The sequence below is a fragment of the Homo sapiens genome, chromosome 14 (assembly GCF_000001405.40).
Source record: "Homo sapiens chromosome 14, GRCh38.p14 Primary Assembly".
NCBI lineage: Eukaryota > Metazoa > Chordata > Mammalia > Primates > Hominidae > Homo > Homo sapiens.
In genome coordinates this window covers 22,499,371-22,520,904 of record NC_000014.9, presented here as the reverse complement: position 1 = coordinate 22,520,904, position 21,534 = coordinate 22,499,371, and the positions used below count along the sequence as shown (strand labels likewise).

The window sequence follows — 21,534 nt, the reverse complement described above, 5'->3', positions numbered from 1 at the left end:
TTTTTCAGACTTTGAGAGAGACTAATCACATTACTTTTGGTTAATGATCATTATTTACAAGGTTCTTTCCTTCTATAAATTGACATAATCTTAGCCAAATAGAATAGTGCCTTAGAAGGTTTGTTAAGGAATTAGAAATCTTGTCACCAATTACTGCACAAATCCAGGGATATGATCCCAGCCAATACAACAAGTAGCCAGTCATACATTTTAGTCCCAACACATATATTCAGGAGCAATTCCCAGAGGCACACTTACATAGCCCATTTTGCACTGAGATGCTAGATCCTAGCCAGGACGACGATTGGCTTCCTATTTGATGCTCATCCCCCTCTCTAAACATTCTTCATATGGTGTATAATTGGGTCTAAATCAGCCCTTAATCCACAGACATTGCTTAATCCAGGGATACAATTTTATACTTACTGGGTTTCACAGATAACTCCGTTCCCTGTCCGAAGATAAGCTTTCCTCCCTGGTTATAAATCACACTGTGTTACATATCCTGTCAAAAACACATCCAGTCTGCCTGAACACATTTCTAATCCTCCACCCCCAAATCCACAGCAGATTGCTCCCACACCACAGCATGAATCATGGCTATCCTGCTTATTGTAACTTTTTTCCTTATAAGGGAAATAAGGGTATTCACACAGGAGACTGATAGAGAATAATGAGAATTACTATTTATCCAAAAACGTTTCTATTTAACACCAGTCTGATCTCTCATTTTTGCTTAATGGCTTTGGGTACTGCTGTTCAGGGAAATGGCTTCCTTTCAGATGTGTTTCTCATAGTCTCGGCTAGAAATATTTGGCATGCAGGGCATGCCAAATACTAAGGGCAGGTGAGGCTCCAGGGAATGGGGCTTACCTGGGGTGACCACAACCTGGGTCCCTGCTCCAAACTGGAATTTCCCCCAGCTGTCAGTTGTCACACTGTGACAAACACCTCTACAAAATGGCTTCCCCAGAGAAGACAGCTGCTGAATGAAGACAAACTGCTCATGGGGAAACAATCTTGCTACAAAATGAGGCAACTGCATGATATGAGATATAAGCTTTTCCCCCTTTCTCTTTTAATTTCTCTTCTTTCAAGACACTAAGGATGGTGTGTGCCAAGAGCTGCACCTCCTGGGCGGCAAGGGCAGAAAGCCAGACTGCTGGGGTCAGTGAAGCCTGGGCGTCCGCTTTAGATGCTGCAGGGATAGAAACCCACCAGCCTAGGCGTTTACTCAAGGTCAGACCCAGTCCTCAGCACTACTCAAATGACAGCTGATCACAACGGTTGCCCTGTCATTTAAATAACTTGGTGTTTTGAGTTCACGAGCCTACTGGAAAAACTACTGCAGGTTGCTTGGGATCTGTTCCTATTGGAAGAGTGTTAATCACTGGCCTCTACTTGCCTGAGCTTGTTTGTTTGTTTGAGATGAAGTTTCGCTTTTGTTGCCCAGGCTGGAGTGCAATGGCATGATCTTGGCTCACTGCAACCTCCGCCTCCCGGGTTCAAGCGATTCTCCTGCCTCAGCCTTCTGAGTAGCTGGGATTACAGGTGCGTGCCACCACACCCAGCTAATTTTTTTTATTTTTAGTAGAGACGGGCTTTCACCATGTTGGCCAGGCAGGTCTCGAACTCCTGACCTTCAAGTGATCCACCTGCCTCAGCTTCCCAAAGTGCTGGGATTACAGGCATGAGCCACTCTGCCCCGCCCTGAGTTTCAAAATCTATCAAATGGGGATGACTATGCTGGAGTCCCCTTCTGAGGAAGACCTTGTTCTCAGATGGTTCTTATTCAAGTCTGACAGAGTGGAGGGGTCTCAAGGCTGGGCTTATTGGTGGGGTCCTGGTGGGTTTCTTCCCCTCCACACCTCTTAAAGCTCCTTCAAGGATGAAGAAGGTGACGAGGTACTGGGCCTTGGTCTGCTCAACACCTTTAATGTCCTCCTGACCCAAGGAGGCACCCGTGGAAAAGAGGGCAAGTTTTCCTCTTGGAGATAATCATATTCAGCACATATAAATTATATGTCACTTACTTGGCTTGACAAGCAGCCTTGTCCCCTTCCCAAAGATAAAGGAGAAGCCTTGTCCTTCTGCATAGTGATTATCTCAGCATCAAAAACCTAACAGCTCAGCTTTCCCCGACACAAAGCCCTCCTGAGAAGGGACCCTCCAAAGGAGTGCATTTCCTCCAGCGTTAATCACACGGCCTTGTGATTTTCCTTCCCGAAAATGAACCCTTCCTCTGTATTGTCCTTATGGTTCTGTTTCTCATTCCTTTTTTAACCTTCTTCTCCATCACCACTCCTGAGGTCACGGTGGACTCCTGGCCTCAAGACCCTGCAGCTTCTCCCCACATCAAGCACTGGACTCATTTTCTATCTCCACTTAACTGTACTTACAGGGCAGCACGGACAATCTGGTTCCGGGACCAAAGACAAAATTCTGACCATAGTTATCCCCACAGTGTTTCTGGGCTCAGCAAAAACCCCCTAGAGCTTCCTCCCTCCAGCCTGGGCATCTCAACACCACAAACAACACAGCACTCAGAACCTGTGTTTTTGGCTTTAAAGGGATAAAGCCAGCCCATTTATCAAGTCAAGTCTTGAGAACAAAGGGAGTTTGGTAACCACTAAGCCGGCAAAGGTTCCAAACTTAACAACCCAGCAACCCCCTGTGTCCTGGAGGATGCAGCTCTGCATTAATGAGCCTGGGCCTTTTTCATGGAGACAGGCTCTGGGGGCTGGAAAGAGGCTTTAAGAGGTTCTCTCATTTCTCCTCCTGCCTCGAGGCAGGGCTGCACTCCAATCACCTCTGATAGCAGGGTGTCTATCTCCTTTCAAAAACTCTCTAGAGAAAGTGCCCTGGCAACTACTCCTGACAGCTCATTTTCACTGTTCAAAAACCTATTAGAAAGGTTTTACCACTAACCTAACTCCCTTCTTGCAGTATTAGCCATGTCCTGTGGTCTGAATCCTGGTGGAGGTGGAGAGCCGAGCCCCTCCGTCTTCTGTTTAATGCTTCCTTTCCCAGATTTAGATGTGTGACTTAACTCCCACCTTGCCCTCAACCTCTTTTCTTTGAAATAAACTGCCTCATTTTGCCTCTGCAGACTTTACTGATCCTCTACCTCCAGGTTGGAGAGTTTCATTTAGTGGCTATTTTCAGGAGCCATATTTCTCATGAGCTTCACTACCCTGAAGAGGAGAAGGACAACCTTGGGATAGATCGCCCTTCCCATAAAGTTTCCATCTTCCCTCTGTCATTGCCCCTCCACATGGGGAGCCTGTCTTTTGGGAAGGGGCTCGGGACACCTTAAAGGAAATCATGCTGGGGTCATTTTGGTGATGGGGAAGTACAAGGTTTCAGTTCTGCAACCTTTGCCCTGCCATCCTGTGAACCGCATCCCTGCTCCAAGCGTGTGTGTGTAGCCTTGAGGATCCCAGCTATGCAGCTCTCTGCAGAAACCTCTCCCCTGCCTCTGACACTTGGATGATTTTGTATTTAAATTAGTCAGGATTCTTTGTATTTCCACTTTCAAATCCCAGGTGAAGAATTTCATAGAACAGGCTGACATTCTCCACCCTCCCCCCAATTCCAGCTCTGCTGCTGATGCACAACAGAACCTTGACAGAAGAGCCCCAGGGGCCAAACAAAGGCTCTGCTGTGGGTTAGAGATGATGTTTATCATTATTATTAATAGCGAGGGTTTAATGAGCTTTTTCTATGTTCTGAGCACTATGCTAACTACTTTAGCTGTATTATTTCATCTTTACGATGACTCAACGAGGTAGGAATATTTTTATCTTCATTTTGTGGATGGGGAAACTGAGGCTCAGAGAGATTAAGTAACTTGTTCAAGGTCACACAGCTAGGTAAGTAGTGGAGCAAGGACTTGAATTCAGGTTTTTCTGTTTCCAAAGCTTGTGCTATCCTGCTTAATCCATTATTACTTGAGCTCAAAATGTCCAGAGGGGACCCATGACACGTCAGAGGTGCTGCAGAGGTGGGCTTAGTGCTCAGCCTCATATTCTATGGCAGTTACTTGATTCTCAATCCAGATGTACAGAGTTCTAGTGGTTCTTTTCAAGTAGATATTTAAATCGCAGCAGGGAGATCAAACTTAGATATGAGAAGTACTTTCTGGCAATAAGGGTTGCCAAATTTTGGAATTAATTACAGAGAGATATTTCCCATCCTAGACCATCCGATATAGTGCAAGCACATCCTATATGGCCAGAGATCCTGCTGGGAAGCCTGGTCAGGGGTGGTGGAGAACCTTCCTGACAGCTCCATTGGCTCATTATTGTTTGTTTCTCTATTTCTTTCAAAATGTTGTATATGCTCCTGAGAAGCCCTTACCATGAGCTAGAGCAAGAGTCTGCATGTGGGCATGCGTGTGTGCATACATGCACTCATATCTCATTTTAAAGCAGGGAAGAGAACCAACTCTCTTTGGCCTGGGGAAAGAACATTAATAAAGAGCCCAACCAGATGCATAGGATTAAAGTCTTTTTCAAACTAATGGTTTGATTGATTGCCCCTGAAGGCCTAGGCAAAGAAGAACACAACTTACTTGGCTTCACAGTGAGCGTAGTCCCATCCCCAAAGGTTGATTTGCCTGCATTGGTGTTACACAGTCTTTAGTGCTATTGCAATAACCTTGACTCAGGCCTCTAGGAAGACAGGTGGAGGTTAGGGAGGAAAGCAGGAAAACAAAACCTGAGATGACTGCCCATGGCCAAAACAACCTCCTTATAATTAGGTTAGAACGTGGGAGGAATACTAATAAGTAGCAACTCCCCAGCCCAATTCTATTTGCCTTAATTTTCCTTGAAGGTATGGGCCTTGGCAGGAGCACCTCCTGGGAAATTCACTCAAAGTGGCTACTGCTCTGTCTCCTGGGATCCTGCCTTGTTTATATTCCTGCAGGCTCTTTGGCTATTTTCATCCAATTCCTGCCTTTTCCCTGCTACTTTCCTTGGACCTTTCTTTTCGTGGAGGTTCACATATTTTCACAGGGAGAGACTACATGGATATTAAATGTCCGAATACAATGCCCCAGGGAATATGTGCATTAATAACCTTGTTTTCCAACTGATATTACTAACCACCCAACACAAACCAAGCAAAGAAAACACCACCTGTGTTTTGACAGCTTCTGCATGATGGAAGACAGGCTTCTCGGGAAGAATAATTAGCCAGAAAGAAGAACTTACTTGGTATGACCGAGAGTTTGGTCCCCTTCCCGAAAGTGAGTTGGTAACTCCCAGCCCCAGAGTATGCACAGAGTTTCCTTGCTTTGCAAAAACCCCAGAGATGCTGAGAAAATCAGACCACTCACAGCATAGGAGCAGCTCTGACAAAAGCTCAGACTGTAACAACAACCAGACAATAGGCAAGAGAGAAGGGCATTACAGAGGCAGGCTATGGAACAGACCATTCCTCAGAGTCCTCCAGAGTCCTGGCTGGACTTTCAGAGGTCATCGAATCCATCCTCCTGTCCTCAGTCAGTGTGTTGTCTGACCAAAGACCTGTCTAGTTATTAAGAGCTCCTAGTTTTTATAAGGTTTTCCTTTGCTAACAGCTCTTACATCTAATCAACTGTTCCTTATATCTAATTGAAATCCTGCAAACTGCAGTCTGAGCCCTTTCCCTCTCAAGCTTTCCTGGTTGAAGATGGGATTTCACATAAACATATTCCACAGAGAAACTCATCACAACACACCAAGCTGGTTTCAGTGGTCACTTTTGGGGAGGAGGAAACTGATACTGAAGGAAGTGGCCAAGGTGAATGCTGGTTTTATCTGTAATTTTTTTTTTTTTTTTGAGATGGAGTCTCACTCTGTCACCCAGGCTGGAGTGCAGTGGCACGATCTCGGCTCATGGCAACCTCAACCTCCCGGGTTCAAGTGATTATCCTGCCTCAGCCTCCTGAGTAGCTGGGATTATAGGTGCCTGCCACCACGATTGACTACTTTTCGTATTTTTAGTAGAGATGGGATTTCATCATGTTGGCCAGACTGGTCTCAAACTCCTGACCTCAGGTGATTTGCCCACCTCAGCCTTCTAAAGTGCTGGGATTACAGGTGTGAGCCACCGTGCCTGGACTTTATCTGTAATTTGAATGGTTTACAATGAGAAATTTTAATGTATTACTTGGGCAAATCAAAATGAATAACAACATTAAATAGAAACCTGCAATGTATTTAAAAATGGCTTTTGGGGCTGGGCACGGTGGCTCACGCCTGTAATCCCAGCACTTTGGGAGGCTGAGGCGGGTGGATCACGAGGTCGGGAGATCGAGATCATCCTGGCCAACGCGGTGAAACCCTGTCTCTACTAAAAAAAAATACAAAAAATTAGCCGGACGTGGTGGTGAGCACCTGTAGTCCCAGCTACTAGGGAGGCTGAGGCAGGAGAATGGTGTGAACCCGGGAGGCGGAGCTTGCAGTGAGCCGAGATCGCACCACTGCACTCCAGCCTGGGCGACAGAGCGAGACTCTGTCTCAAAAAAAAAAAAAAAAAAAAAAGAAAAAGAAAAAAAAAAAAGGCTTATGGATCTCAGACAAGCCTTTTTGTGCTTCCCCCAGGCTAAGTAGTCTGGTTCTCTGCCCAGGGCTTTTGTCTCCTGGGATCAGAGGAGGAAACTGGGCCAGGATTACGGTCAGAACAAGCTGGAGGCAACTAGGCCAGGGTGCAATGCAGGGCCCAGATCTGTGTGCATTCATGACTGTCCAGTTGGCTTTCGAATTATAACAGAATAACCTGTAATTTTCCTGCGCAATGCTAATGACCCAGCTCCTTCCAAACCTTTCTTGGGGGCAAAAGCATTCTAGGTACACTGAAAAATAATTCAAGGGAAGAAGCCATTGCTGATCAAAATCAAGGATGGCTAGAAACACTTACTTGCAATCACAGAAAGTCTTGTGCCCTTTCCAAAGACAAGAGGTGTGTTTCCTGAATTCCCACAGTGATTTCCTCCATAACAAAAACCCTGAATGCCTGGCCTTGGTGGTTTTCCTGGAAGTTTCCTCTTGTTGGTCTTCTTCCCTGTTAGAACCATCTAGAAATCTCCCCACTTAACCATAGTTTTTGTTTTTCCTTAGCACGCATTTGCCCACTTCTCCCCCAATCTCTACAAAGTATGGTATAATTAAAATGTTTCTGCTTTGCCTGTCTACCCTGCTGATGAGCTTCCATACATGGAGTTGTAGCTCAGGGATGCATTTCTGAATTGCTTGCAGACTTCTAGCTTATTGTTAGCCTGTGAAAAACATTCCAAAGGAAATCCCTGTTTCTGACATCATGATGTACTCTTTGCTGTACTAGAAATAAAAAGGAGTGGTCACTTATCCTAAATAAAGAAAAAGATTTGGAAAATGGCATAGAGTGAGAAGGCTCAATGCAAGATGTTGCTCTTGCTGGCATACTCTCTTTGTTGTCTCTAAGATGAAAGTAGCTCTTTAAAAAGTCATCTCTCACTTATCCCTGGAACAAGGGAAATGAGAGATCCTGGGGCATCAAAGCCAGGAATCTCAGCAGAGGCCAAATAAAGAAAAATAAATCTTTTATGGAGGGTGGAAGGAGAGGGGTCATAGGTATGCTGGAGTCATTTCCAAAATCAATTTAGTTGGAGCCAAAAATCACGCTGGGCTTAACAATGAGTCCAAACAGAGGTTACCAGGGACAAGCCTGGGGGAAAAGACTGGAAAATAGGTTCTGGACAAAGTGTCACGATTCTTTTACTCTTCTTAATAAACAATAAAAAAATAATTTATATTTGGGTAGCAGAGGACTGGTAGCAACTTTTCCAGCCCTGGAGGGGAGAATTTGGTATTTGGCTCAGCTGTGGAAAGGCTGAGGACTGGACCTCTGCAAGAGAAGAGCCCAGGACCTACAGGCCACCCACATGTCTTAGAAACTTTCCTACTGAACACTCTCAGCAGTTTGAACTCAGTGGGAGTTAATGTCAGAAAATCACATAAACAGCACTTACTGGGGAGAATATGAAGTCGTGTCCCTTTTCCAAAGATGATCTTGTCATCTCTGTTCACACTGTGATTGGGACCATAACAAAAACTCCTAGTGACTTTTTTTTGGGGGACAGCTGCATATTTTTTGGTGGATATTTCAACCTCATGGGACTTAACAGATTCCTATATTGTCTCTTCTCCTGTAATAAACAGGCCTCATTATCAGCTCAGCCATCTTTCTCTGTGTCTTCTAGTTGTTCTGCTTGAATTTCATGCTGCTTATTGCAAATGTGCGAGAGGAAGTTGAATGACCTCATTTGACACTGAGAGTGAATTATAAAGCCAACAATACAACAAACTCCTTTCCAATATCAAACATAATTCTGTTACTGAAGGCAAAAGATACCTGGCAGACAGCCACTGAGCTAGGAATCCACTTTTCAGAGCCCAAACAAAAATGGGGCAGGAATAGGTCACTTAGGGCACATATCTGGATTTCCACCTGAGAAGGAACTGCATTACAGAGTCTTCCCTTCACCCTGGCTCTAAGCCTTAAGTTCTAGAATTTGCCCTGTCACCAAATTCTGAGGATACCTTGCCTTATGTTTGCTGTACTCATTATAGCCCTGCCCTAGCTGGGGGTCATGAGCATCATTCATTTTAGCCCAAGGGATCCCCGTCTTTTAGAAAATGTTCTCCTTCCACAGTCCATGGATGTGGTCTCTCACCACCAAGAGAGGGAAGCCTTATGCCATTGCCCTCAACCCTGGCTGGATCCTTGTTTGACACTTAAAGAACCAAGTCCCATTTTCTCTTCCTCCTTTGGGTTCTACCTGACCCCAAAGAAGCTCTTTATCATAGTCGTTAAAAAAAATTAACATGGGATGGATATGTTCACCAGACGTAAAACAAACCTATGGAGTCATCTATCTCATTTCCTTGTCTTCCAGCATTTCCCAAGGCTGAACCGTTTAAAACTAGGCTATCCTATTTTAAAGCTCCTTGGGTTAGTCATTCCATAATCTTAATTATAACCTGTTATAGGGTTTAATAACAGACAGTCAATGTGGTGACTCCAGCCTCTTAATATTAGTTTTTTGGTTGGACATTTGGATGGGTCCTATTGTCTCCAAAATGGCAATGTGGAGAAACAGACACCCCAGGAGCACACCTGGGAATGCCAGGCTCCTGAACTCCTATTTCCCTCCTTTTCAAGGAGGTAAGTTTAAAAACTTTTATTCCCCATGGAGGAATTGATCATTAAAAAAAAATCGTGTTATCATACCTGCCATTTTATTTCACTCTGGATTTCCTTTTAGGTGTTTATAAAGCCACCTGGGAGTGTCAATCCATTTCTGAATTGTTTTTTTCTTCCACTGCATTTGCATAGTCAGGCTGTGTTTTTAGTGAAATTTGACATTACGGGACTAGATGTGGACATTTGTCAAAATGCGACAATGTTTGGGTTTCTTATGAGATCTTTTTGAAATGAATATATATGCAGGTACAAGAGACAAAGAAGGTACCTTATAAATATTAGTAGCATTTAAAATGAGATAGATTCTCATTTTTAATAGAATGGAAAACAAATTCTGTGGCTAAAATCAGAGTAAACACACAAGTCATTGCAGAACATAGTTTAAGAGATACTGCGGCTGTAAATAGCTCATGGCCCCATATCTCTCTAGAAGAAAGAGGGCTAAGCCACAATGTTAAAGGTGATTTGGGGTGGTCTCATTTTGCCTTTATTTATCATTATTGCTCTAGTCTCAATAATCACGAGTGTTTCATGTATTCACAAAAGTCATTTTTCAAGAAGTAGATTTGTTTACATATTAAATTAAATCTCCACTAACTTCACGGGATTTATTTGTTTGGTCAAATATCAATAAAACATGGCCACTTACTGGGCTTCACCACCAGCTGAGTTCCATCTCCAAACATGAGTCTGGCATTGTTATTCCCACAGCACTTCCTGCCTTTACTGAAACCCATAGTAAAACCCTACCAAACACATAGCACTGTGGTGAGGGGGCAGTTAGACTCTCCTTGTGTTTTTTTTTTTTTTCCTTTTTTTTTTTTGCTTTCTCTGTGTTTCTGGCCTTTTATGATAGGAAGAAAAATTGGCTCTGCAACATAAAGCAAACAATGTCTCCTTTAAAAATGCCAAACTTATGAGCTTTTAAAATTCTTTTGCATTTCTAGGCATAAAACTGCCAAAGCTGAATCTAATTTGTTAACAACTCTTGCTGTCGTATGTGTGAGCTCAGCCCTAAACACACAAGTTTGAAGGGACGGTACATTCCTACACCCACAGGGATATTTTCCAGCTACAGAGCCATCCCAGCTCACCTCCAGACTCAGTGATCAAGTTTTTTCAAAGCCTTCTCAATGTGTAATAATGCTTATTTGATAGCCTAAAAAACATTTCATGAGGGAAGAGTGGCAAAAGTCAAACAGTTCTATTTTTTTTTTTTCCCAAAGAAGTTCCACCATGGACCCATATGCTGTTTCAGCCAGGAAGGGGTAGAGAGTCCAGCCATGAAATAAATGGGAGAAGTGAACACTTTCTGTTATAAAAAAGACTGTATCCTAAAGGCAGAGATAAAGACACACAACAGCTCCTTTATCACAAAGCTGAGCATTGGCTGAGCTTTAGTATACACGGAGTATCTGGAGAAAAGAGAGAGGGGTGAGCATCCCAGACAGTGATACCATGTCACTAACTTTCTTGGTTAAAAGTAAGGCTTACGTAATAGAAATTTAAGCTTGGAGAGAGAAGAAGTCCCCAACATGACTGTAACTTGTTGATTCTTTATATTTCAAGAGGAAGTGTTCAAAACTGATCTCATTTCTCTCCTTTCATCCTGGGAGCAGTGGGTGTCCAGAGCAAACAAAAAGAACTTATTCTAGAGAAAACAAAAGGGAAGCAAACGTAGGAAATAGAGTGACAGATACGTGGATCACAGTTCTAGTACTGAGCTAAGTTACCCTTAGCCTTCTCTTTCCCCTCCCTGACCCCTGGGAGTTAGGCCTGCCTGACTTCTCAGCACTCTTCCCAAGGATGGCTCTGGAGTCTCTTTTGGAAGAGAAATAAAAACATGGCCTATAGAAGAAGGCATTTGGACCGGCAGACACATAATTGTATAAATAGGTTAGGAGAGATTGTATTTGCACAGGTAAACGTATGTTCAGGGTCAATGAATAACTGGGAAACTGGGTTCACAGAAGCATAAAGCCTGCAGCATTTAGTTGAGAACAATTTGATTTTCTCAACTAAATTTTCCCACAGTAGTCTTTTTCTCCCCTGGGGTTTATCATAAAATTAGCATGTTTCCCCTCCCCTGACTGTGGTGTGCCATCCAGGAGAATGGGAATTTTGACAGCCTGCTATATCACGGCAGATAAGAGATGACAGCAGTGAACAAAGTCAACCTTCAGCCATCCTTTCCACCTAAGGGTGGCTGTCGCTTCCTACTTGCCATGGACACAGAATCCACCTGACACATGCCACTACTTACGTACTTGGCTGGACAGCAAGCAGAGTGCCAGTTCCAAAGATGAGCTTGTTTGTAGCACCACCATAATTCACACAGTCCTTCAGAGCCTTACACTAACCCTCAAGGAGGGGCACGGCAGGTTGGGATGAGGACAGCTTTGTGTCTTTCCAGGCTTAGAACACCTCAGTCCCAGTGTAGCAAAAGCTGACTTGCAGGCATCGCTGCAGCCTTCATATTCCTCTGACAGTGCCCTGACACTGTCATTTAAGTTACATCCCAAGGCCCAGAACCCTGAGTGACTCCAGCAAGTGACCGAGAGCTTTGCAGGCATCTGCTCTCCACGTGGGACAGCAGCCTGAGGCAAGGATGTCAGGAGAGCTGCAGACTTGGCTATTTTTCACCTTTGAACATTTTACCGTCTTTGGCTGTGTGACCCTTTCCTTTTTCTCTGAATTTGCTCTTCCAATGGAATGAGGCTGGTTCTGCCCTTGGCAAAGAGTTTTAACCATATCAGAGGGAATTAGATATTCCCTAACAACCTGGCTCTGCTCTCTTAGAGGGCTACTTAAGCATTATTCATTCCGGAAGCTACTAGACCAAACAAAAGAGTTAGCGGCTGACATGCTTCTCACTGGGAGTGGAGACCCCATTTGGGTTGAGTGCATTGTCTCCAGCAGGCTGACTTGTTCTTAAAAATATAATCTGCATGCTACACTTTGTGCATTATTCAACTAGTGTCTCCTCTCCCGTGCAGTCACATCTCTGAGACTTACCTGGCTTTATAATTAGCTTGGTCCCAGCGCCCCAGATTAACTGATAGTTGCTATCCACACAGACACAAAAACCTTAACAAAAACCTTCACTGTCCTTCCGGGGATCCTATTAGAGACAAAGCCCAGACAAAAAGTCTAGAGCAAAGCACATAAAACAATGAAACAACATAGGAATATTGGCTATTGGAGATTATTTGCTCATTTAATTACATTTGATTAAATCGAATGACTAAACATCCAAAGTCAATCTAGGTCTCTCTGCATACAAGGGAAGCATAATTCAGAAACAGTTTTCAAATTGGAGAAGTTGAACTTGCTTCACCTTCCCTGATATTTTAAATAAAAATGCAAAAGAGGGAAACAGATCATTTGTTTAGAGTCATAATGCATCTGACGCTCTAGTGCCTTCTTTTCACTGCTGGTAAGATTTTACTCAGTACCATGGTGTTCACATATAGGTTAAATTGTTCACATATAGATTAATTGGTTTATAGAAGGTTCTGCAGCTATAGGTGCTAAAGGCCCCTACAGAGCTCGGAGTTGGTAAGGGTGGCCTGCAGTGCTGTGAGAACGTTCCTGTTTATAGAAAACACCTTTTAAGGCTGGGCGCAGTGGCCTGTAATCTTTGGCAGGCCGAGGCAGGCAGATCACTTGAGGTCAGGAGTTCAAGACCAGCCTGGCCAACATGGTGAAACACTGTTTCTACTAAAAATACAAAAATTAGCCAGGCGTGGTGGTAGGTGCCTGTAATCCCAGCTACTCGGGAGGCTGAGACAGGAGAATCGCTTGAACCCGGGAGGTGGAGGTTGTAGTGAGCCGAGATCATGCCACTGCACTCCAGCCTGCGCAACAAAGAGCAAAACTTCATTTAAAAAAAAAAGAAAAAGAAAAAGAAAACACCTTTTCAAAATGGCTCCTTGGTTTCTAGTACTTACTTGGAAAGACTTGTAATCTGGTCCCAGTCCCAAAGATGAGCTTGTCGGTGTTATAAGACACAGTGATACTGAGATCTACAAAAACCTCCTAAGCCCCTCTGCTCTTCCCTGTCACTGGCACCAAATGACTATCAATAGCAAAGGAGATTTGGGGATACATTTAAAACACCAAAGCAATCAAACAGTCAGTTTTTGTTTCAGTCAAGTTTCATGTTCTGAAAATGCCTATGGCCTGTGCTTATTATGTTTTCAATGCATTAAGTGACAGCTCAAGACAGTTCACTGTAAGAAAATAGGGAATCTCAAGCTCTAATCCCAGTTATGATTTTTTTTTGGTTTGACTTAAATTATTTAACTTGTCTGTGTGTCAGCTTTTCTGTCTGTGACATATGTTTGATGATGTATGATCCTGTTTACCTTATTAGAGAACGTTGTGAAGATAAAAGGGCTGGGGATGGTGCAGTGGGTTACAGCATTGAAATGCATTGTGAATGATGTGGGGAAAATATGATGGTTCAAGTCAAGATATTATTAACATGAATAGTAGGGACTATGCTAGCTGAAGTTTATTGTCAAAATGATAACCACAAAACTTTCTTAGTAAAAACTGAAGGAGAATATATCTGTCTTGTGTGTTTTTCCACAAGAAAGTTAGTGGAAATAACCACTTAATCTGCCAGAAGAGACAGGCATGGAAAAGGTCAGCTGGATTCTGAAGTCTGACTGCCAGGGGAGAAGAAGAAATGACTGTCCTCCCACAGCAGTGAGTGAACATAGATTAGGTTCCCACGACATGCTAATGCCCTTGGCTGTTGGCAGCATTAAATGGAACCAGTTAAAATTATCTTGAAAAATGAATTTGACCATCTTAATGGTCAAACTGGCTGTGTAGGTAGACCCAGAGACTGTTTCTCCTCAGTGACTGGAAAATGGGTGTGTGTGTGTGTGTGTGCATAAGAAGAACTGTTCTATATGATTTACGGACATAACAGCCCACAGAAATGAGAAAAGATATACTTACGTGGTAAAACAATCACTTGAGTGCCGGACCCGCAATGCAGCACATTCCCAAAGCCTATCCACAATGGCTCATTCTTTTACAAAAACCTTGTCATCTCTTCATAACCACATGTTTTGTGTCTCAAGGTGGAAGCTAAAGCTTCTCAGGCAAGAGAGAGGATTCAGACGCACATCTCATGAATGCCATGGTATTCCTTATTTCGTGTCAGCCCCTCCTTCCTGAGGCTTTTCCTCATCCTGGGCCCAGCTCCAGCCTTCATGCAGGCAGTCTGTGTCCCTTGGTGGCCACCTCTACCTCTGCAGCGGCTCTGCTGGGGCCAACCCTCAGCAAAGATTCCCTCAGGGCCCTGAGCCATTTGAGGATCACTCAAGGAGCTAGGAAAGTCCTCAGAAATACAGCTGATGGTTACAGAGGCAGGCAGCAGTGTGCGTGGGGGTGCCGGTGCTGGGCATGGGCATAGCAGTCAGGAATTCAAAGGAGAGAGCAGGGATTTACATACAGGAGTTGGAGATGGAAGGAAAAGGATCTAGAGAGGAAGGGTCTGAAAACAAAGGCAAGAAGGGTAGACACACACTAACAATGGATGTCAAAATTAGTCACGCTTTGCTTGGTGAGCACACACAAGTTCTAGGGGAAAGAAATTTTCCTGGCTGTGTCAGTTGCCCTGACCTATTTAGTACTCCTGTGACAACCTCTTAGGTGCAGCTGAGACGTCCCACACTACAAGCAGAGACCACGTCCCTGTCTTATTTCTGTCTCAAAGAGCCATCTGACCAAATGTTCTACACGAGGGGGTAGGAACAGCAGCCACAAAAAGATACTCAGAATCTGTTTCTCTCTTCCTAATTAGGCTGTCAATCTGTTTAGCTAATAAGTCGTATAAAGTGTCTTCATCCCTTCTAAGGAAAGGAGTCATATAAATGCAAACTAGCAGCAGCAATAAGTCAAATGGCTTGCTGGGCATCTTTTCTTCGTGTGAAGAGATGCTGTTTAGTAGAAAGGGAAACTTTCTGTGTGGAGAGGAGACAGACTGGGAAAAAGCACAACAGCATTTGTTTTTATTAGGCTGAGTCTATACAGCACAAAGTGAAACAGATTTGGCAATTATTTAGGTAATGTGCCATTCAATTCATGCAATTTTGAGCACAAAGAAGTTTTCTCAAGGAAGTCCCTAAATATCTGCATCAGCTACCAACATTAATCAAAGTAACTGGACAATTGGGCTGTATAGACACAAACTAATAAATGCACCCTGAGATGGTTCTTTGGAAAGGCTTATATTTTATAAATCTAACATTAAAACTAGCCCAATATTTGTAATCACTGTCTTCATTTTGGCACTGCAATTAACAGTTCCCAATTTTTCTTACAACATGTCTTACATTTAGAGCCGCAAAGGTAAGGGTGACCTTCTCCCTAGAGAGTTTTATCAGTTTAACACATGGAAGCTCATTTAGAAATTCATTAGGTGTCTGGGATGTGAGAACTTGTCATTACAGACTAAGAGCTTTTTTGTCAAGAGGTAAGGACTTACAGGGAATAACGGTGAGTCTCGTTCCAGTCCCAAAGAAGAGGTTGTTTGCCCCAGTTTGACACAGTGTTTCTGCCCAGTACAAAAACGCTTTCCTACTAAGCCAAATTTTCTTCATCTCCTTCCTCCTTCTTTAACTTATTTATTTTATATTTTTAAATATATATTTTTAGAGACAGGATCTTACTTTGTTGTCCAGGCTGGAGTGCAGTGGTGTGTTCTTGGCTCACTGTAACCTTGACCTCCTGGGCACAAGTGATCCTCCTGCCTCAACCTCTTCAGTAGCTAGGATGACAGGTGCATGCTACCATGCCTGGCTATTTTTAAAAAAATTTTATTTATTTATTTTTTGTAGAGATGGGGGTCTCACTGTGTTGCCCAGGGTGGTCTTGAACTCCTGGCCTCAAGTGATCCTCCTGCCTCAGCCTTCCAAAATGCTGAGATTACAGGTGAGAGACACTGCTCCCAGCTTCCTTCTTCTTTTTTTGAGATGGAGTCTCACTCTGTCGCGCACGCTGGAGTGCAGTGGCGCGATCTCAGCAGTGGCACAAACTCCACCTCCCAGGTTCACGCCATTCTCCTGCCTCAGCCTCTGTAGTAGTTGGGACTACAGGCGCCCGCCACGCCTGGCTAATTTTTTGTATTTTTTTTTAGTAGAGACGGGGTTTCACTGTGTTAGCCAGGATGGTCTCGAACTCCTGACCTCGTGATCCACCCGCCTCGGCCTCCCAAAGTGCTGGGATTACAGGCGTGAGCCACCGTGCCCGGCCCCAGCTTCCTTCTTCTATAACGTTTGCCAGGGGTATGTTACACACATTTGGACTTCTACTTGGTGATAACCTTTGCCAAACCTTACAACAAGAAGTGCTGTCTTCCATGTTTCCTAACAATCCAGACAACTAATAGTCCCCTTTCTCTCTCTCTCCCCATGTTTTTTCCCCCCAAAAAAACATATCATTTCCATGCTACCCATTTTGTCCTTGGAAGACTGTACTTGAATAATTCTGGTGGTCACAAGGGTGGATTCTACTTTAGTATATTATTATGAAAAATCACCTTCTTTTGTGTGAACCACCCACATTTGATGTTTTTATTTCTTCCAAGTCAGCCAAACTCACATTCTCTCAGCCTTAACCTAAGAATTCCAGATCCAATACACCCTTCTTTTTGCCACTAGCTGAAACCAAGTGAGTTAGAAAGGATCATATCAACCAGACTTTACACACATTCTACTTACTTTTATAAAAGGAAAATATAACCTAAGAGTAAGAGTTTTTGGTTAGAAGTTGAGACAGAGAAGATTAAACAAAAAACGAACAGAGTGGATAACTGCACTTCACTTAGAAACATCCAGACCTACCTGGTTTTACTTGTAAAGTTGTCCCTTGCCCAAAGATTAGTTTGCCTGTGTTGCTAGAGCCACACTCTAATGCTGTACTTTACAAAAACTATAAATGGGGATCATTTCCATTTTTCTTCCTTCCCTCCAGCAACCTGACATAGTAGCAATAAAAACATATTAACTGAAAACTTTCAATCGGGCTGCCATTATGCAAAGTCCATTATAGGTATTAGCTCTTTAAATCTCGTAACATCTCAGTGAGCTAGGTACTATTACCATCCCCATTTTACAGATGAGAAAAAAGAGGCATAAAGAGATTAAGTAACCTTCTGAATTAGGATTTACCCAAACAGTTTTATTCCAAAATTCATATTCTTAACTACTATGCCATACCTTTCATTAGCCACCCTCCCCTGCCTGCCATTTTGGGTTCTCCTTTGAAGTGTGTATACCAGTCACATGGATAAAATATTTCATTGACCTAATAAATATATCCTGAGATAGTTCTTCTGAAAGACTTACATTTCATAAACTTAATATTAAGACAAATCTAATATTTATACTGATTATCTTCATTTTGGCACTGTAACAGACATTTCCCATTCTTTTTTTTTTTCTGCATGTGTCTTATATTTAGAGCTGCAAAGGAAAGCATGACCTTCTCCCCAGAGAGTCTTATCAGGTTAGCATATAGAAGCCCATTTAGAAATTCATTAATGTCTATATCAAAGATGTCTTTCCTGAAGCCCTTTGGTTCTGCTGTACAACTCCCCTTGCCCTTATCCAGCTTTGCCAAGCCTGGAGCTCCAGAACTGACTCAGGACCTGGCCCCAGCCAAAGCCACAGCAAACACTGCTGGGAACACAATGTGGTGTGCGGAACAAAATTCTGAATAGTGTAGGTGGTCTGTAAGATGCTCCTGAAGACTCTTGCAGAGAATAACTTCTCAGAAGAGGCTAGAATTAGGATGAAATCAGTTCCTTTCCTGTTACCTCTAGCAAATCCACAATAAGGCTCTAAGCCAAAGAGAACTGAGAGATGCAGGAGTTATATCGCAAGTTTGAGTCATTCTGGATAATCCACAGTGGGGAGATGTGCTCTAGCACGGTCACTAGCGTGACTGTGAGTCCCGAGAGTTCCCAGCACTTGACCTGTCTTTGGCCAGAAAGCAACAGTATTTACCAATGGCCCACGGTGAGGTTGGCATAGTGCAGACTAAAGCGGCCATGAAATGTGCTACACACTCACCTTCTGTAATATTCAGTGCTCCCACACAGGCCTTTTTGGAATGCACGAATGTATTTGCTCTCTAAGAAAACAGCTGAACACTCCAATGGCCTTCCTACCCTGCTCATATGGATCCCTCTATCTAGTTATTTTGATTGAGGGGTAGGCAAGGGTTCAGCTTTGGTGGACAGGAAGAAAACACTAGCCATAACTAGATATCTTAAACCTCAGGGCTAAAAAAGAAGGAGGCAGTTTCTGAGATATTTCAAACTGCACAGACAGGTTTGACAGAGTTAACACGAAGACTCACTCGGATTTACTGCCAGGCTTGTTCCCAATCCCCAAATCAGCTTACGGTTGTTGCCAGCATTACACAGTCATAGAAAGCTTTACCAAAACCGACCAGGCCAATGTGTATCAGGAAATCCCTTTCAATCCCCAAATCTGGCCGGCGTGCTCCTCCAGCTGGGACGTTGGCTAAAGAGGCAGCGGAAAAGACTGTTTATTATGGCGGTCTATTCCCAGCATGGTCGGAGTGGAAAGGCTCTTCTGAGGTTAACTAGTTCATCCTTCCACCTCCTGACAAAGCTGCCTTCTGACCAGGCCAGCAAAGAGCATAATTCTGACAAAGCTGCTGGAGAAGGATTCCCCCACTGCAGTGCTCACCCAGCCCATGTTCTACTCAGTCAGACCTTCTGACCCAAATGGTTAAGACAAAAAGGACAAGAAATCTGTTTTTCTCCAGCACATTTGTTCCCACGCCAGACAGTTACATGTATGTCCATTTTCATATATACATATGCCATGTATCGATAACATGTAACCATTAGAATTAATATAAAAGATAAAATTAAGTAGAGAAAACAGAAAACAGAGCTCAGTGCTACGGCTTCCTTTTGAAATTAGAGCATTCATTATGGATTCAGCAGAGATACTCACGGGGTTTGACCATTAACCTTGTTCCCCCTCCAAAGGTGAGCATGTTGCCTGCATTATTATTCACACAGTGATCTTCGGCTGAGCAAAAACCTCCTAGAAACTGAACTAAGTTTTCCCTAAAGATCTTCTGGAAGGAGTGATATCGTGAGCACAGAGAATATTAAGTAATTGTCACAGTAATAACCTGGCACAGGATCGCAGTATCAGTTTGGATTTCAGGACTGTTTCCACACTGGATAACTAAAGGATAGTCTTTCTACATGTTCTAAAGAAAGAGTTTTCCTGCACAAGCCCAGAATACTGAATGCCAAAATTGTAGCGTATCCACTGGTGTTTTAGATAATAATTCTCCAGCGTTCTGAAAATTATATACCTCACTTGGACAAAGTAGGAACAGTTTATGTCCAGAGCACCAAAGCAAAAGCAATCAGAGAGACTGTTGTCAGAGTGGGAGGGATTGAGGGAAGCTGTCACGGCCCACCTGGGAGGAGGGGTTGGTGTGCTGGTCACACCTTCTGGGTGCTGGAGCCACGCACCTCTGACTGAGGTCAGCTCAGGAACATCTGAAGGGATGCCCAACCTTTTCAATCCACAGAACTCGAGACAGTCCTATGCAGTTGTCTGCCCTGGAATCCACCCTGGACTCCAACTCCAGATCTTTTCATCCCCTGCTTTGCTAGTCACCAGGAAAAGGACTTTTCACCACTTCCTATCCTTGTCCTAGGAGAGACTTTTCTACTCTTACTGTCCCTTCCCCAGGACATAACACAGCTCAAGGACTAATCAGAAATAATCCTCTTATGACTAAGAAGGTGACTTCTCCCATTTTTGCTGCATGATCCTTTTGAGCTTCTCTCAATTTTGAGGTATCTCACAGAAAGTCTGAGCCCGAAACTCCATGGGCACCACCACTGAGTGGCCAGCATGGTCTCCTCCCACTTCCTCACCCCCGGCCACATTCAGGACCAGGGGCTTAACAACTGGTGTTAGGAATGGAGCACTCCAAAGGGAAACCAAGAAACATGCAGCCTGTAAATCTCCTACTTGGATTATATTAGTGCTATTTCAGGGACAGAGCTCTCCTTTGCAAACCCATTACAGAAGCCATCTCTCTCCTTCCTACTTTGCTTCTTTGTCTGATGGATCTCTTACCTTGGCCTGCTTAATTAAAAAATGATATGATTTTTCATGCTCTTCCTATGAAACTAAATCTGGTGATGCCTGTGCTGGGTCTCAAGGCTGAGAGATGATGAGGCCAAATTTTGTCACCTGTGCAAGCCTGTTTTAGGTGGTGGGTCCAGGATGTCTGATGTATGGACACAGGGTACAGGTGTGGGCATGTGTAAATATTCAAGGGAGGGAGATACCTAGTTTTCCTGGAGCAGAGCATTCATGAAAGGGAATCAGTGGGAATAAATTTGGAGAATAGAAAGGGCCCAGATTTCAGAGAGCTTTGAGTGACATGCTAGGATCTGGACATGATTTCCTCTTGAGATGATTTCTCAAAATATGAATGCCCAGATGAAGCATTGAGTTGCACAGAGGAGAGACGCATAAAAAAAGGCAGAAAAATGAGTGAAAAATGTAAAGTGAGAATATAGTTTTAAAAGAATAAAGAACACAGAACTCCTGTTGTGTTAACAGGAGTTTCTTGAGGCCTTCAAGTCATAAACATTTTGCTAATGATGGATACAATTCTTATGAAATCGGCAGTAAGTCCATCATGGTAAGCCTCAGAGCTCTCCTTCGCCCCTCCTGTCCAGAGTAGAGGGACCCAGAATTGCCGCTTCAGATAGCAGTGATTTTAGCTTGCACAGTTTACATGGGTATTTCCCTTGTCCTACCTTCCCTTGTCCCTCAAACATGAACACCAACAACCTTTAAAATACAGCCTGTCTTGTCTGTAATACTCACTTGCTAAAACCTTCAGCCTGGTGCCTGTTCCAAAGATGTATTTGTAGGTTCCTGAGGTAGTCACAGTGTTATGTGTCTCTACATAAACCAACATAATGTTACCATTTATGGAAGCAGCTTTACTCTCCATGAATAAAAGGGGCATTACATGCACTTTCCCCATTGAAAGGCCTTGACCTCGTATTTTTCTACAAGTAATTTATTTCGGATTATATCTTAATTCATACAGAAAGTCTTCACTGCTTCTATTGGGTCCGAGTTTGCAAAAGTTCTTCAATCTCATGCTATCTTTATGCATGTTTATTAATTAAAGAGTCTGATTTAGTGAACATATGAGGACTTAAGCATCTAAATGACTGTTGAACCCTCTGAAATATTC

General features: G+C 43.4%; 18 gene segments (V, D, J or C) and 1 further gene, besides 4 other annotated features; all 19 read right to left on the bottom strand.

The window, feature by feature from the left end:
- Positions 1–21,534, bottom strand: part of TRA (T cell receptor alpha locus) — a 930,229-nt gene that overhangs the window by 31,228 nt on the left and 877,467 nt on the right.
- On the bottom strand, positions 427–489 carry TRAJ23 (T cell receptor alpha joining 23). The segment is given in 1 exon segment: positions 427–489. A coding segment is annotated over 1 exon segment (63 nt), but the record flags the coding sequence as incomplete, so codon positions are not given.
- Positions 874–936, bottom strand: TRAJ24 (T cell receptor alpha joining 24). The segment is given in 1 exon segment: positions 874–936. A coding segment is annotated over 1 exon segment (63 nt), but the record flags the coding sequence as incomplete, so codon positions are not given.
- On the bottom strand, positions 2,034–2,093 carry TRAJ25 (T cell receptor alpha joining 25 (non-functional)). The segment is given in 1 exon segment: positions 2,034–2,093. A coding segment is annotated over 1 exon segment (60 nt), but the record flags the coding sequence as incomplete, so codon positions are not given.
- TRAJ26 (T cell receptor alpha joining 26) lies at positions 2,400–2,459 on the bottom strand. The segment is given in 1 exon segment: positions 2,400–2,459. A coding segment is annotated over 1 exon segment (60 nt), but the record flags the coding sequence as incomplete, so codon positions are not given.
- Positions 2,989–3,098: an enhancer, noted in NCBI's record as "active region_8125". NCBI's record gives its function as "activates an Ori minimal core promoter by ATAC-STARR-seq in GM12878 lymphoblastoid cells {active_cell/tissue: GM12878}" and the evidence as "EXISTENCE:reporter gene assay evidence [ECO:0000049][PMID:35858748]".
- TRAJ27 (T cell receptor alpha joining 27) lies at positions 4,574–4,632 on the bottom strand. The segment is given in 1 exon segment: positions 4,574–4,632. A coding segment is annotated over 1 exon segment (59 nt), but the record flags the coding sequence as incomplete, so codon positions are not given.
- TRAJ28 (T cell receptor alpha joining 28) lies at positions 5,217–5,282 on the bottom strand. The segment is given in 1 exon segment: positions 5,217–5,282. A coding segment is annotated over 1 exon segment (66 nt), but the record flags the coding sequence as incomplete, so codon positions are not given.
- Positions 6,907–6,966, bottom strand: TRAJ29 (T cell receptor alpha joining 29). The segment is given in 1 exon segment: positions 6,907–6,966. A coding segment is annotated over 1 exon segment (60 nt), but the record flags the coding sequence as incomplete, so codon positions are not given.
- TRAJ30 (T cell receptor alpha joining 30) lies at positions 7,997–8,053 on the bottom strand. The segment is given in 1 exon segment: positions 7,997–8,053. A coding segment is annotated over 1 exon segment (57 nt), but the record flags the coding sequence as incomplete, so codon positions are not given.
- Positions 9,881–9,937, bottom strand: TRAJ31 (T cell receptor alpha joining 31). The segment is given in 1 exon segment: positions 9,881–9,937. A coding segment is annotated over 1 exon segment (57 nt), but the record flags the coding sequence as incomplete, so codon positions are not given.
- Positions 10,446–10,595: an enhancer, noted in NCBI's record as "active region_8124". NCBI's record gives its function as "activates an Ori minimal core promoter by ATAC-STARR-seq in GM12878 lymphoblastoid cells {active_cell/tissue: GM12878}" and the evidence as "EXISTENCE:reporter gene assay evidence [ECO:0000049][PMID:35858748]".
- Positions 10,786–11,135: an enhancer, noted in NCBI's record as "active region_8123". NCBI's record gives its function as "activates an Ori minimal core promoter by ATAC-STARR-seq in GM12878 lymphoblastoid cells {active_cell/tissue: GM12878}" and the evidence as "EXISTENCE:reporter gene assay evidence [ECO:0000049][PMID:35858748]".
- Positions 11,499–11,564, bottom strand: TRAJ32 (T cell receptor alpha joining 32). The segment is given in 1 exon segment: positions 11,499–11,564. A coding segment is annotated over 1 exon segment (66 nt), but the record flags the coding sequence as incomplete, so codon positions are not given.
- Positions 11,866–11,945: an enhancer, noted in NCBI's record as "active region_8122". NCBI's record gives its function as "activates an Ori minimal core promoter by ATAC-STARR-seq in GM12878 lymphoblastoid cells {active_cell/tissue: GM12878}" and the evidence as "EXISTENCE:reporter gene assay evidence [ECO:0000049][PMID:35858748]".
- On the bottom strand, positions 12,247–12,303 carry TRAJ33 (T cell receptor alpha joining 33). The segment is given in 1 exon segment: positions 12,247–12,303. A coding segment is annotated over 1 exon segment (57 nt), but the record flags the coding sequence as incomplete, so codon positions are not given.
- TRAJ34 (T cell receptor alpha joining 34) lies at positions 13,182–13,239 on the bottom strand. The segment is given in 1 exon segment: positions 13,182–13,239. A coding segment is annotated over 1 exon segment (58 nt), but the record flags the coding sequence as incomplete, so codon positions are not given.
- Positions 14,203–14,261, bottom strand: TRAJ35 (T cell receptor alpha joining 35 (non-functional)). The segment is given in 1 exon segment: positions 14,203–14,261. A coding segment is annotated over 1 exon segment (59 nt), but the record flags the coding sequence as incomplete, so codon positions are not given.
- On the bottom strand, positions 15,737–15,795 carry TRAJ36 (T cell receptor alpha joining 36). The segment is given in 1 exon segment: positions 15,737–15,795. A coding segment is annotated over 1 exon segment (59 nt), but the record flags the coding sequence as incomplete, so codon positions are not given.
- On the bottom strand, positions 17,094–17,155 carry TRAJ37 (T cell receptor alpha joining 37). The segment is given in 1 exon segment: positions 17,094–17,155. A coding segment is annotated over 1 exon segment (62 nt), but the record flags the coding sequence as incomplete, so codon positions are not given.
- TRAJ38 (T cell receptor alpha joining 38) lies at positions 18,613–18,674 on the bottom strand. The segment is given in 1 exon segment: positions 18,613–18,674. A coding segment is annotated over 1 exon segment (62 nt), but the record flags the coding sequence as incomplete, so codon positions are not given.
- On the bottom strand, positions 19,242–19,304 carry TRAJ39 (T cell receptor alpha joining 39). The segment is given in 1 exon segment: positions 19,242–19,304. A coding segment is annotated over 1 exon segment (63 nt), but the record flags the coding sequence as incomplete, so codon positions are not given.
- Positions 21,156–21,216, bottom strand: TRAJ40 (T cell receptor alpha joining 40). The segment is given in 1 exon segment: positions 21,156–21,216. A coding segment is annotated over 1 exon segment (61 nt), but the record flags the coding sequence as incomplete, so codon positions are not given.